The sequence below is a fragment of the Homo sapiens genome, chromosome 11, assembly GCF_000001405.40.
Source record: "Homo sapiens chromosome 11, GRCh38.p14 Primary Assembly".
Lineage (NCBI taxonomy): Eukaryota > Metazoa > Chordata > Mammalia > Primates > Hominidae > Homo > Homo sapiens.
In genome coordinates, this window is record NC_000011.10 from 102,160,017 (window position 1) to 102,175,317 (window position 15,301).

General features: G+C 38.7%; 1 protein-coding gene across 14 annotated transcripts in view; it reads left to right on the forward strand.

Moving 5' to 3' along the window:
• The window catches only part of YAP1 (Yes1 associated transcriptional regulator), a 122,978-nt gene that overhangs the window by 49,570 nt on the left and 58,107 nt on the right, over positions 1-15,301 (forward strand). For all 14 annotated transcript variants that reach the window (XM_005271378.4, XM_005271381.4, XM_005271380.4 and 11 more), the window contains one exon: positions 2,440-2,555. In XM_005271378.4, coding sequence (XP_005271435.1) covers positions 2,440-2,555 — 116 coding nt within the window. The remainder of the gene's footprint in view (positions 1-2,439; positions 2,556-15,301) is intronic.

The window sequence follows — 15,301 nt, forward strand, 5'->3', positions numbered from 1 at the left end:
GATTTTTTTTTTTTTTTTTTTTTTGAGCCAGAGTTTTGTTCTTGTTGCCCAGGCTGGAGTGCAATGGCGTGATCTTGGCTCATCGCAACCTCTGCCCCCTGGGTTTAAGCGATTCTCCTGCCTTAGCCTCCCGAGTAGCTGGGATTACAGGCGTGTGCCACCATGCCTGGCTAATTCTGTGTTTTTAGTAAAGACAGGGTTCTTCCATGTTGGTCAGGCTGGTCTTGAACTCCCAACTTCAGGTGGTCCGCCCGCCTTGGCCTCCCAAAGAGCTGGGATTACAGGCGTGAGCCACTGCGCCTGGCCCAGCATATTTTTTTAAGCTTCAAACCACCAACTTAAAGGTGTAGAAATAGTAAGCATAATACCGCCATAACCAGTTTATCTCTTTACCAGTGCTATCAGTTAACAAATCATGAACATTGTGTATTATGTATATTACATGTAGCTTTCTGTTCTGACAGCAGAGTTTATGTGCTAGTTCTGGATTCGTCTTAATAGATGATTTGAAAAAGAAAGCATTTAAAAGGATTCTCTGTAAAAATTCTACTCGGCTAGTAGCAAACTTATCATTTTAGAAAAACCGTTTTTTACTTTGAGACCAGTAAGATGGAGTGACAAGAACTCCCAAGCCAGAAGCTAAAAGACGTGTTTTTATTCCTGGTAATGCCACATAACTGGAATTGGCAGTTGCCAGTAGTACGAGAATTTGCTTAACTTTCACCAGCCAATGAAGTTATTTGCTTGCTTTCTTACCTCCTATTACAGTGGAAGCAATGCTTGTATCCTATTCCTTCCTGCTCTCTGAAGGATGACTGTGCCCCATCAATAATCCCTTTGCACATCTTCAGCTACTCTGTGTTCACATTTAAACACTTGTATCCCTTCCTCTTGAAAAAACAAGAACTCATAACCACCTATTTAGCTTTTTATTTCCTGTGCACAACTAAATTTGTCTGCTTCTTTACTTCCTACTCACTGTACTCTCACTGTCCCTCTAAAATGGCTCTTGGCCAGTGTCACCAATAATTTCTTTCTTTTTTTTTTTTTTTTTTTTTTTTTGAGATGGAATCTGGCTCTGTTGCCCAGGCTGGAGTGCAGTGGTGCCATCTCGGCTCACTGCAAGTTCCGCCTCCCAGGTTCTCGCCATTCTCCTGCCTCAGCCTCCCTGAGGAGCTGGGACTACAGGCGCCCGCCACCACGCCTGGCTAATTTTTTGGTATTTTTAGTAGAGATGGGGTTTCACCGTGTTAGCCAGGATGGTCTCGATCTCCTGACCTTGTGATCTGCCCGCCTCGGCCTCCCAGAGTCTTTCTGTGTACTTTCACTACACACACACACACACACACACACACACACACACACACACACTAAACAATTAGCCTTGTCCAATACATACTGTTTTATAACCTATTTTTAAAAACTGTATTATTAATATTTTTTCATATTATATGTTCTTCTAAAACATTTTCAGCAGCTGCATACAGTCCATCATATATATCCATGTTTAACCAATTCCCTATCATTAAATGTTAACTGGCTTTCAAATGCTTGCTGTAATAAATGATACTGAAGAGATGTTTATATATAAGGGTTTTATTACTTCTGGCTATTAATGCAGGATACTTTTTAAGGTAGTTTTATTTGTATAATATATCTAGTTTTTCTTTCATTGAAACAATGAAACTTTGCTACAAGAAAACTTAGTACTTATTGCAAGTTTGTATGTCAGATAACGTGCTAGATGCCTTGCAGTCTTACATTTCATGGTATTTAGCTGTTTTAATTCCCAACTTTATAGATTAAGAAATCTATATGTATACATGTATTTCTCAGTAAGTTAACAATTATGTAGAAAATGTTCAGCAAACATCAAAGGGCTTTGTGTAAGAACATGTTATTCAGGAGCCACAGGGGAAAATGAAAACTTACAGATGAAGTTTAAAGTTCTGCTTTGGCTTTGGAGTATGTAAGAAGATGACTTTTGGGGTTTTGTGGTGTTTTACCTTAAAAAGGCGTTTTAGGCCTAAAAATTATGTTATTTGGCATTCTTATCTCTAGGAGAAAATAAGTGTATGAATTTCTTATGAATCTTGGGTTTTAGTCATATGGTTACTCTTTTAGTTTACAAACTACATTGTATCTTTGCATTAGAAGGGGTAATAATTATCTTAATAGTTGAAGATGATTTCCTTTCACTTAAAATTCCAGGCATAACTTTTTCAGATGTTGCACTTGTAAGATCTAAGAGTTGAAAGTTGAGTGATTTAAGGGTGAAAAATGTCTGTTGCAGAGGGAGGCTGGTGGGAGCAGTGAGATGCTGTGACTTAATGCTTTTACAGAGCTCGCTTGGCACCCTTTGATTATGAGCCCACAAGATAAGAATTGTTTTTGGAACCTGGTATTTGTTTCCTAATGCAGTGGTTTGTTTTGTCTTAGTCACATCGATCAGACAACAACATGGCAGGACCCCAGGAAGGCCATGCTGTCCCAGATGAACGTCACAGCCCCCACCAGTCCACCAGTGCAGCAGAATATGATGAACTCGGCTTCAGGTGAGTGAGACACTGTAATTACAGCACATGGAGTAATGCTTACGCATTGGTAAAAGTTGATGTGGAAAATAGTCATTACTCGTTTACAGAAACTGGGACATGGTGATGTTTATTGTCTCTCCAGTTTCATACAGAAGACATAGTCTATTTTAAAATAACGTAAGCTATATTATTGCCTTGTATAGTTGTTAACGCATAAGGGGGCCGATAACTGAAAGCCAGTGGTTCTTTAAGATTTGGTTCTGAAGCGGGTATCTCAAATTTGTAGTTCTGTTAATTTTGACGTATTTGGTTTTATTCTGCTGCTTTCTTGTGTCTCAGGTATTTGAGTTGAATTTACCCTCTTCCCTTTGTGGTTTGGATGGAAAGCCAAGCTATAGTGTTCTTATTTTTTATTATTATTATTTTTTTTTTCATTTTTTTTTTTTGCTATGGTGTTCTTAACCCAACTTTTAATGTGGTGTTATTCATTCTACTCTGAAAATATCTGGAAGGCAGTAACTTTTGTAAACCCAAAAGAATATTTCTTATTCCCAGGGCAAGCATGGATTATTAAACGCATCTTCACCTTTTTTACTAGAAGATAAACCTGAGTATAAATCTTTTTCTACCTCTTATTTGGCAATTTACTTGAATATGCAGTTTTTCTCATCTACATAATGGGGAGTAACAGTGCCCCTTATGATAGAAGGGAAGATATGAAAGGAAATAATACAATTTATATGAAGCCTCTAGTAATTACAGAGTAGGTACTAAGTGAAAGTTTAGCCCCTTCATCTTCCTTATCACATACTGTCTGGCGTCTTTCTCCTTTGTTAGGTGGGTTCAAGGCCACAGTTAGCCCATTATGTACCTTTGTACATATTAGGAAAAGGTGCCCTTCCTCTGGGAAGATGTAACATTGTGCCTGGCATCAGAGATTGGAGCATTTGGGCTGGATTTCTGACCACTCCCCTGGCCCCCACGCTTTACCCCGCTGCTCAGTGCCCAGGTTCAGGACACAGATGGCAACAATAGTATGTGGCAGCTCTAGTAGACTTGATGGCTTTCTCCACCGCCCATGCATTTTCCCTAGATAACAAGCATATTTAGTAGCTACACAGTAGATTTCTTAAACAGCAGTCTTTGGCAAGGGACTGTTGTGGTTGGGTGGGAAGGGTGGTACCATTAGTTGACAGGAGGGTTCCTTGACTAGGCGAATTCACAGAACTTGAAATGTCCTTCTGCCCCTCGTGCTGGAATGTTTCTGCTGTTACATACCTCTGCTCTTGCTTTTGGTGGGTTGAACATTTGAGTTCTAAAGAGTTAAGAGTGGAAAACAAAGAAAATGGCAACATTTGTGATTGGGCTTTTCTTGACATAGACTTTAAATTCTGAAGAAAAATTCCTTAAATCTAAATTTAACTCATTATACTACGAATACATTCTCAGAATCTCTTTTATATGTGACACTTAAGTAAAAATTTTTTTTTTTTTTTTTTATTGAGACGGAGTCTCACTCTGTCACCCAGGCTGGAGTGCAATGGCATGGTCTCAGCTCACTGCAACCTCTGCCTCCCAGGTTCAAGTGATTCTCGCGCCTCAGCCTCCCGAGCTGGTACTACAGGCGCCTGCCTCCACACCCAGCTAATTTTTGTATTTGTAGTAGAGACGGGGTTTCACTATGTTGGCCAGGCTGGTCTCAAACTCCTGACCTTGTGATCTGCCCACCTTGGCCTCCCAAAGTGCTGGGATAACAGGCGTGAGCCACCATGCCTGGCCCCTAATTAAAAAAATTTTAAGACAAAAATTGTACAAATATTAATATTTTTACTTGGCAACTATTATGTTTTTTTATTACCAAATTTTCAAATAAAGTTGTGAAATCTGCCCTGTATTTATGGTTAAACAAGATGATTCACATTATTCATTTTGTCATGCTCCATCTAAAAATTATCTCGGCAGTTAATGACAGATAACATTAATTTAAACTTTATTTTGGAAGAGTAAGTATTTCGCGTCTAACAAGGTTGATTGTAATTCTTTTAGAACATTGCTTTGGTTGTGTCCTATTATGTTTTCTGATGGTGATGGTCTAGAGAAATGAGAGTATTTCGGCTGAAATTTATGCTTTAAGTCAAAGGTATGTATCAACTTGGTTTTAGTGGGTTTTTTTGTTTTTTTTCTTTTGGATGGAGTTTTGCTCTTGTAGCCCAGGCTGGAGTGCAATGGCACGATCTCAGCTCACCACAACCTCCGCCTCCCTGGTTCAAGTGATTCTCTTGCCTCAGCCTCCTGAGTAGCTGGGATTATAGGAATGCGCCACCACGCATGGCTAATTTTGTATTTTTAGTAGAGAAGGGTTTTCTCCATGTTGGTCAGGCTGGTCTTGAACTCCCAACCTCAGGTGATCCGCCTGTCTTCGGCCTCCCAAAGTGTTGGGATTACAGGCATGAGCCACCATGTCCAGCCGGTTTTAGTGGGTTTGAAAATAATTGTGGATGTTTTATTTCAGCTGTATGTCCTGGGCAGGTACAGTGGCTCACACCTATAATTTCAGCACTTTGGGAGACCAAGGTGGGAGGATCAGTTGAGCCCAGGAGTTTGAGACCCGCCTGGGAAACATGGTGAAACCTTGTCTCTACAAAAAAAAAAAAATAGTCTGTCATGGTGGTGCATAAGTGAAGTCTCACCCAGTTCTCAGGAGGCTGAGGTGGGAGGATGGCTTGAGCCTGGGAAATTGAGGCTACAGTGACCTGTGATTGCACCACCATACTCCAGCCTAGGTGATAGAGTGGGACCCCATCTTAACAACAACAACAAAAATTTTTGTCTTGTTTGTAAAATATGAAATGTTTTAATATATTACATAAAAATTAGTATGCATATACATGTCTAAATAATAGAGCTATATGTAGTAAAGAGGTGACTTTGACACAGTTTCAGTGGAGTGGCAAAAAGCGTGACTGGAGGGTTAGGAGTGAGGGGGAGAAGGCATAAAGGAGAGGGTTGTGAGGAGAGAGTTGGAAGAAGGAACTGAAATGAGAAAAGCCACCTCTGAAGAGGCTTGAGCATGTTTACAGCGTGCTAGAAGGTATTTAACAATAATAATAGTATAATAATAATTCTTATTTATATACCAGGCATTCAGTGAAGGTCCATTTTGCACTGTCTCATTTAAGATCCCATGTTCTTCACTGTATGTTAACCAGGGATAGGATAACTGACAGATAGGATAACTGACAGAGCGAAGCCTCCGATAAAGCAGAAGCGACAAGGAACCACTAACGAACGTCCTGGAGGCGCTATTTTTAAATACTATTAATAGTAGATAATATTGGGGAACTGCTTCTCCAGAAGGTGATGGGTGTGGAGATGATGTTTGTTTAAGGAGGCCTTGTTTCAAATAAAATACTGTTCACTCAAGAGAAGAGAATATTCAAAGAGAGCACTCGAGGTTATTGCCTTTTATGGGGACGGTCAGACAGTATGATGGGGAAGGGAAGAGACTAGCTGATGGGTCCAAAACCAAAGGCTTTTTAAAACATCCGCAACACATCGATTCTAGGAGTCAGTCAAAACTTTCCAAATTAGAGTGAAGTGTTATCTTAAATATATATGAATTCCCAGAATCAGACAAGTTTATATCTGGATTATTCTGAATTTGGTCATATGGAGACCTGCTGATCAAGTGCTGAGGGTACTGATAATATCTTTACAGCACATGCCTCTTTTTCCTCTAAATTACATACACTTGTCTGTTGTCTTTTCTTCCATTTCAGTGGAAGCCCATGGTTTTGACATGTTTTGGAATGAATGTCACTGTAATCTTGATATACCTCATGTTCACATAAAATAGCCGTAACGTCATGTTGACATGTTAATAAGGTTTCAGTAAGCAAAAGGATGCTCTTCTCTACTTGGAAAAATGATCTTTTAAGGAGTTTTTAAAATGTTAGAGACAGTGAACAAGGACAACTGTGAGAGCATGTAAGTAAATTTTGAGGGTATTTAATGTAACAAAGCAGAAAATGGCTTCCGTGAAGCAGGGTATCTACAGAAAAGTTTCACCCTGAAGGGAGTGTCTTCTGAGTCTGCTAACCCGAAGCCTTCACATAAAAGAGAAAGCTACACCGTGCTTTTGAAGCACTCTACTGGGTTAATCATGCTAAATGCAACTTGATTTACATTTTTATTACTCATTATTTAATAAGGACTTCCTCGCTTTGCTTTTTTTTGAAAAAGAATTCCCATCATTCATAATTGAGTCCAGCTTCATGTTCTGCTCTGAGATCTTGTTCCTCATCCAACTGCTTTCCTTAAGATACTGTAATTTCCTCTAGACTCCCCAAACCTGTTTTCTGCATAATTTTCATGGTTGACTAGGATGAAAGATCTTTTAAGATTCTTTCCAATTCTTAAGATTTTATGAAACTCTATTTTGTTTTCTAATTGGCTTTAGCAAAAATGATCAGTATAATTATGCTTTTATAAGTCCTTTTTCAAAATATGAGGTTGAAATGGTAGATACTACATATAGCCTAGAGACCAGTGGTTTGTGATTGGGCAAATTTCCAAATATCTATAACTGAGAATCACCCAAAACAAAGATGCACCTGGAAAAGGTTCTAGAGGCAACACTCAATACATCCTTGGAAGAAGATTAATTTATATTCTTTAACTGTGCCATTTAAGTGGCAGGGTAAATGACAGCAAGCTTTGTGAAAGAATTTGAAAGGTGAAGAAGAGGAAAATGGAAAAATAAGAGGAAATGGAATAATGTATTAAGATAATGGTTGTACTTTACTTTATATTAAAATATTCAATGTATAAATATATGTATAAATAAGTCTAGTCTATTAAATTACTTGAGGTGAATGTCCTTTGAAAGTTAAAATTTATAGCTGGGTGCAGTGGCTCATGCCTGTAATCCCAGAACTTTGGGAGGCCAAGGTGGGTGGATCATGAGGTCAAGAGATTGAGACCACCCTGGCCAACATGGTGAAACCCCGTCTCCACTAAAGATTTAAAAATTAGCTGAGCATTGGTGGTGCACGCCTGTAGTCTCAGTGACTCCGGAGGCTGAGGCAGGAGAATCACTTGAACCCAGGAGGCGGAGGTTGCAATGAGCTGAGATTGTGCCACTGCACTCCAGCCTGGTGACAGAGCAAGACTCCATCTCAAAAAAAAAGTCATAATTTATAAGGCTGGGTGTGGTCGTTCATGCCTATAATCCGAGCACTTTGAGAAGCCAAGGTGGGAGGATTGCTTGAGCCTAGGAGTTCAAGACCAGCCTGGGCAACATAGGGAGACCCCATCTGTATTAAAAATAAAAATAAAAATTAGCCAGGCATGGTGGCCACACACCTGTGGTGCTAGCAACTTGGGTGACTGAGATTGGAAGGATAGCTTGAGCCCACGAGGTCAAGGCTGCAGTGAGCCATATTTGCACCACTGCATTCCAGCCTGGACAACAGAGTGAGACCCTGTCTCAAAAAAAAAGTTATAATATAAATTAGTTATTATATATAATAGCCTTTTGATGCCTGCTTAGGATCCGTAGTTTTTCTCCCCATATTGAGAGTTAGGTAAACATTTCATGATTTTTGTGTTCAGCATTAGAAAAGAAAGCCCTGGGGAGTGAAAAGTGATACTTCCTTAGCTCTATGTGTATGATATATATTAAATTTTTAAATAGTGTACTTGTTAACACTGATCCACAAGATTGCTGAATCTTCAAGGGACAGTAAAGTCAAAGTATATTCTGTGATAATCCAGAAATAACTGTATGACAAATGACTAGGATCAATAAAAGTTATGTCTTGATTTATATTAAGCAGAATCAACCCATTTATCTGCTTTTGAGAAATGTACATTTGATAACAACCCAAAGCCTAAATGTCTTATTACAGGTACATTTTAGAGAATTCATTATTTATATGCTTTAAAGTTAGAAATTGTTGGGATTTATTTGACAGTTCCCAACTCTACCAATGTAGCACTTTCAGATTTCTCTATTATGAAAAACTGTGAGGATTTCCTAGGAAATACCTCAAGATGGGTGGAGAAAATGCCCTCTTGATCATGAAAGGTGATACGTGTTAGAGGAATGTGCTAAGCACCTTCCTTGAAGTGGGGAAAAATGTTCAGAAGCAAGCAAAGTGAGTAGTATAGAGCTGCCTTAAGGTTTGCCTCTTGTGTTCTCCTGCCTGCCTGTGTAATATCTCTCAGCACTGAAGATCAAATGAGAGATTGTTACCAAGAAAAATGAGAGAGCTAGAAAATAGATGTGAAATATAAAAATGATGGGTAAATTACACATTGATTTAGGTTTTAACTTTAAAAAGCACAGAGAGGGTAAAGATGTGAGAAGTTGCAGAACCAACAGGGTTGAGGTGTTGGTAATTCCTGCTTTATGTGCTGTAATTCAGAAACTTTAAAGTTTTACTTTTCACCTTTGAAACTGAGAGACAGTTTACATTAAGGGTTAAGACCAAGGGCTCTGGAAATCCCATGGACCTGATTTGAATCCCAGGCGTCATCTATTGTCCATGAAATCTTGGACAAGTTACTGTATCTACCTGTATTCTTCACTTAGAAAAATGAGATAATAACTCATAGGGCTGTTGTGAGCATTAAATGACAGAATCCATATCACATAGTTAAAATGTATTATTAATAGTGTACAGTGCCTGGTATAAATGTGATAAAATAAATGTGATCTGATATTTTAGAATTTAATCAGTTTGTAATACCTGGTAGCCACTGTTACTTTGTTAAAAATCTGTTACCACACTATCTTTGAAGTTATGTTTATCTCTGTAGGCTTTTTATCATCAAATTGAGGTCATTGGCTCTTCCAAGTAGTTGGTTCCTGATTCTTCTAAAAGTTCTGGATTATTATAAGATGGAAATTGTCAGTCTGAAGTCACAATATATGGGAAAAGACTATACTAACGGGAAACCTAATAGCAGTGAACTATAACAAAGCCCAAAGTCAGAGCAATGAAGAGATAGTGTATTTGACTAGTTACTCTCGGGCTTGTATTCCAAATACCTTTTTTAAAAACTTTTAAAATAAAAACACTTATTTTTTTTGAACAAAATTGCTGTTTTCTTTTTCCCATCTAGAAGTTCAGGTAAATTAAGAGAAATGGCCCTATAAAATGGAAAAATAGTATAAGGAAAAGCATAATAATCTGGAATCAATATAGCCAATCCTTAAGAAGCTTGGTTTGTTTTATATAGCTTGTGGCTTGATTTATTTGATGATTAAGTTCCTGAAAAATGATAATATGGAAACAACCACCATTTTTCTTACTTAAAACTATGGCCAATCCATTTCATTTTAATAAAATATGCCAATATGGAATATGATGACTTAAATTTTTTCTTTTTGAAATAAAAAAAGTAATTCAGTTATAATATCCAGCTTGCAAATGGCATTAGCTTGTAATTATTGTATCTACTCTAGTATGGGAGTTCTTCTGAAGTCTTTGTTAAACCCAGTGATGGCTGATAAAGGCACTTTCTAATCATCGCTCTTGACTTAGCTGCATAATGAAGATGCCACTCGTGTCAGGGCAACTAATGGCTTTGATTTTACTCTGATGGTGAGAGCCTTTCACTTCGTCTCCACTGGGAATCACTCTGATGTTGTTTAATTCCAGTCATGATTTTTACAGTATTAATTTCTTCATTCTTTGTTTAAAGAAACCCACATTCATTATGCTGAGATGTGGGTATATAATTACTTTGTTTTTCAGTAGCTGCAGATCAGTATTTTTTTTAATAGTGCCACATATTTTTAAAAGATTATTTCAGTTTGAGTATCATGATTATCCACAGTAACTATCTAAATCTCAAATGTGTTGAGGAGTACTGTGTTTTGTATGCTTAGTTACATGCTTGATTATTCCAGATAAGGTAATTCTTTCCTGTCCTCTTTGCTTTACTTTAGAGATTATCTTCTAAAAAGGGGGAAACATATAGAAACTCAAGACTGTTGAGTGCTCTTGACCTGATCTTAGAGCACAGATATCAAATATTTTAAAAAATTTACTAGAAGCCTTTGAAGTAATCATTTGGGATAGTAAAGTTCATTTACATTTTGAATGTTATTAAGATTTTAAGGTAGGCCGGGTGTGGTGGCTCACACCTATAATCCCAGCACTTTGGAAGGCCGAGGTGGGCACATCACCTGAGGTCAGGAGTTCAAGACCAGCTTGGCCAACATGGTGAAACCCCGTCTCTACTAAAAATACAAAAATTAGCCAGGTATGATGGTGGGTGCCTGTAATCCCAGCTACTCAGGAGGCTGAGACAGGAGAATCGTTTGAACTCGGGAGGCAGAGGTTGCAGAGAGCTGAGATTGTACCACTGCACTTCAGCCTGGGATACAGCCAGACTCTGTCTCAAAAAAAAAAAAAAGAAAAAAAAAATTTAGATCCATGAGTATCATTTCTACCAGCTCTCTTAATAAATGACTTATTACATATTGGGGCATAAAAATAGAAGTATTTGTGTTCAACTTTTCTTCAGTGATTATTTGTAGATTTTTGGAAACTTTGCTCAGCTTTGGAGTAGAGAGAATGAGAAAGAGATTAAATTATTTCCATTTAAGAACCAGCTCAAATGCCTGTTTTATTCTCTTGATAAGTGTTGGAATATTATTTTTGTCTTTCCCACTGATTTCTAAATCCTTCTGGTTACTCTATTGCTACAATAATTTTATGACTCATAGGAGGAATATTTGTGTGAAAGATTAAGATGCTAATTCTTTAAAAATGATATTCATAGACTACCATATATAGTCAGCATAAGTGAAACAGAATAAATCTTGCAACAGTACTCACAGTTTTCCAAAATAAGGTTTTCTTTTGATGTTAGTAAGGTAAGGAAGTGGTAAAACTTTCTTTAGGTTAAAATCTTAATGAAAGGTATTAATTTGAGCAGTCTGAAGTCTAAGTGTGCTATTTGTTTTTCCTTCGGCAAAACTTTACAGAAAGCTAATCTTTAATAAATAAACTTAGTAAACTAACTCTAAGCCATTTCATTGAGTTAAAATCTAAAGGACTTAAGTGGCACTGAAGAAAGTCTGAAGAGTTGCATATTAGTAGGCTCACTGAGCTTGTACTTGACCTTTTCTTCTAGAAAGTTCTTACAGCTATAACCTGACAAACAGGAAAATGATTTTTTAAGCAGTTTCATAGTTTTACCTTGAGATAATAGTATTTTTCCCTTCTTAAATCATTCATTCTACAAATATCAAATGCCCTGCTTTATACTATGCCCTGTGATTGCAGAATCAAGCTAAGACAGACTTTTTTTATATTACCATAAAAAATGTTATGGCAGGACCAGGCGTGGTGGCTCACACTTGTAATCCCAGCACTTTGGGAGGCCGAGGCAGGTGGATCACCTGAGGTTAGGAGTTCGAGACCAGCTTGGCCAACATGGTGAAACCCCGTCTCTACTAAAAATACAAAAAGTTACCTGGGTGTTTGGTGCCGTTTGCCTGTAATCCCAGCTGCTTGGGAGGCTGACACAGGAGAATTGCTTGAACCTGGGAGGCAGAAGTTGCAGTGAGCTGAGATTGTGTCACTGTACCCCAGCCTGGGTGACAAGAGCAGAACTTCTTCTCAAAAAAAAATAAAAGAAAAAGTTGTGGCAGATGTATGCACTGAGTGCTGAGAAAGTAGAGAGAGAGGAACACATGAGTCAGTAGTGGAAAGGAAGAACAGTGAAGAATTTTTTTTTTTTTTTTTTTTTTTTTTTTGGACACAGGGTGTTGCTCCACCACCCAGGCTGGAGTGCAGTGGCACGATCACAGCTCATTGCAGCTTCAACTTCACGGGCTCAAGTGATTCTCATGCCTCAGCCTCCCAAGTAGCTGGGACTACAGGCATACGGCACCATGCACAGCGTTTTTTTTTTTTTTTTTTTGGTAGAGACAAAAGGTGGGCATGGTAGTGTATGCCTATAGTCCCAGCTTTTTGGCAGCTTTTCTGGGGATTACATGTGTGAGCCACCACACTCTGCCAAGACTTCTTTAGGGAGGTTCATTGATTTCTTTATCCAAATATTGAATACAAACTATGTGCCAGGCATGGTTCTAAGTTATGAGAACGGATATACAATGAGTCAGATATTAAAAGTGGAAGAAAGAAAAATAGACCAGTTATGGTCAGAGTGATAGGCTGGGGATGGAGGGAGATGATAGCTTAGATTACCTTCTCCAGTGCAGGTCTCTGTAATTGACGTCTTTTGAGCAGAGATCTGAATGAACTGAGAGTGAGAGCCATGTGAATATCTGGGGAAGGGAGAGAATGCTTCATGCATAACACAACAGCCCGTTCAGAGGCCCTGAGACATGTTTGGGGAACAGCAAAAAGGCCACTGCAGCATGAACAGAGTCTGTGAAAGGCAGAATGGGGCTGCATTACAGTGGTGCTTGTAGGTTTTGAACAGAGGAGTGACATGGTATCAGTAACTTTTTAAAAAATAGGGAGATTACTTGGAGGGCAGTTGCAGTAACCCAGGGAGAGGATGACCAAAGTGGTGGTGATGAAAGTGATTGGGTTGAGGACTTGAGTACTAGTGGACGAGTGGGAAGTTAAGTTAGAAGAAAAGGGAAGATAAAAGTAGCTAGTAGATGGGCAATTACTAAGCCCTGGAACCTCTAATACCATATTGCTAGTGGTAAGATGATGAGCAATGAGACTGAAGACCACCTCAGAATGGCTTTGTGTCATAAGCTAAGAAGTTTGAGCCTTGTCCTGAAAATGTTGGGATACCATTAAAAATCTTCTTTAGGGGTCTTCTGCTATGGTTTTCCCTATTTTTATTATCTGATCATTTGAATTTTGAAATCCAAATATCTCATTTTCTTATATTTAAAGCTACTTCCTTAGGTATAGTATACATGAATTTTTAATGTTTAATATATCATTGGACCAAAATGGTAGAACTATTCTAAGAAAGAGTAGGGAACTGACATTTAAGCACCTACTGGGAGCCATGACCTGTGTCAAACACGTGTTTTAATTCTCTCAATGATCTATTGAGTGTTCATCTCTGTTTTATAGATAAAGAAAGTGAGCATCAAGCAGGTAAAGGAATTTGCCCAAGGTTAGAAGGCTAATAAATATTGGATCGATCCAAGATTTGAGCCCAGGTCTGTCTGAATCTAAACCCTTTATAGTCTCTAAACTATACTGTCTTTCTGGAGTTGAATATGAAACTAAAGTCATATGAATTTTATTTATAATGTATCAAAGATTTTTTAATCAAGTAAGCCACTGAATAGTACTTTTGCTATATTGTTAAAGTTTGAGTTAATGGTACCTCTAGAAAAGGTTGAATCATACAAGCGGTCCTTGTTAGTCTTTGGTATTCTAGAGTAGTGCTTCTTAATTTGTAATGTGTCAAGGAATTACCTCGGGATTTGTTCAAATGCAGTTCTTATTCAGTGGGTCTGATTTAGTAGGATTGGGACCTGAGATTCTGCATTTCTAACAATTTTCTGGTGATGCTGATACTGCTGGTTAAAGGAGTGCACAAATAGAATACTGTTGAATGGCTTAAACTTAAATCCATAGAAATATCCTTAGAGATCATTTTAGCATTCCTATTTTAGGCTGGAATGAAACCTTTACTGAGTACCTAAATACAAATGAGTGGTTCCATCATTTCATGAGCTCTTATTTAATATAAAAACCCTGCAAAATATATGTTACCTACTTTTTCTTAAATCTATTATTTACAGGCCGGGTGTGGTGGCTGATCACGCCACTCCCAGCACTTTGGGAGGCCAACGCGGGCAGATCATGAGGTCAACAGATCGAGACCATCCTGGCCAACATGGTGAAACCCTGTCTCTACTAAAATACAAAAATCAGTAATCCCAGCTACTCGGGAGGCTGAGACAGGAGAATCGCTTGAACCCAGGAGGCAGAAGTTGCAGTGAGCTGAGATTGTGCCGAGATTGCGCCACTGCACTCCAGCCTGGTGACAGAGCGAGACTCCATCTCAAAAAAAAAAAAATCTATTATTTGTAAAGGCACAAAACAAGTCTCTGAGAGATTGCAACTTCACAAAGACCGATCATACTTTTCCACAGATAGGCTCTTAATCATGTCAGCTCAGCAAACTTTGGTTGTATTTGGTGGCAGTGCTAAGTCCTAGGGATACAAAGACAAAAAAGTCAGCGTCTCTACTTCTTGAGTCTGTTGAGAAGAGAAGGATGCAGGCAAATGATTGGGGTACAGGGAGGCATCTGCTATAAAGAGGACATGAACATAGTAGTTGGGGCACCAGTATGCTGGTGCATAGAATGCAGGTAAGTAGTAGTGCCAGAATTCCAATCTAAGCCTTCATATGTATGGTCCACAGTTTCATCTTATTCTACCACACTGCCCATTGTAATCCAGAAGGGGCTTGGATTCATCAGCGTGTTCTAGTAGTTTGGCAGAAGAATCTTCTAAGTACCTATAGGACATGGGTGAACCTGAACTCAGGATGGGGTGGGCAGGATGGATTAGCCACCAACCACTCTTTGTTTGCCCAAAGCTTATTTTCATCAGTATGTTTATAGTATCATTAGTTTGGGAGGCCAAGGCGGGCAGATCACCTGAGGTCAGGAGTTTGAGACCAGCCTGACCAACATGGTGAAACCCCGTCTCTACTAAAAATACAAAAATTAGCCGGGCATGGTGGTACACCCCTGTAATCCCAGCTACTCGGGAGGCTGAGGTGGGAGAATTGCT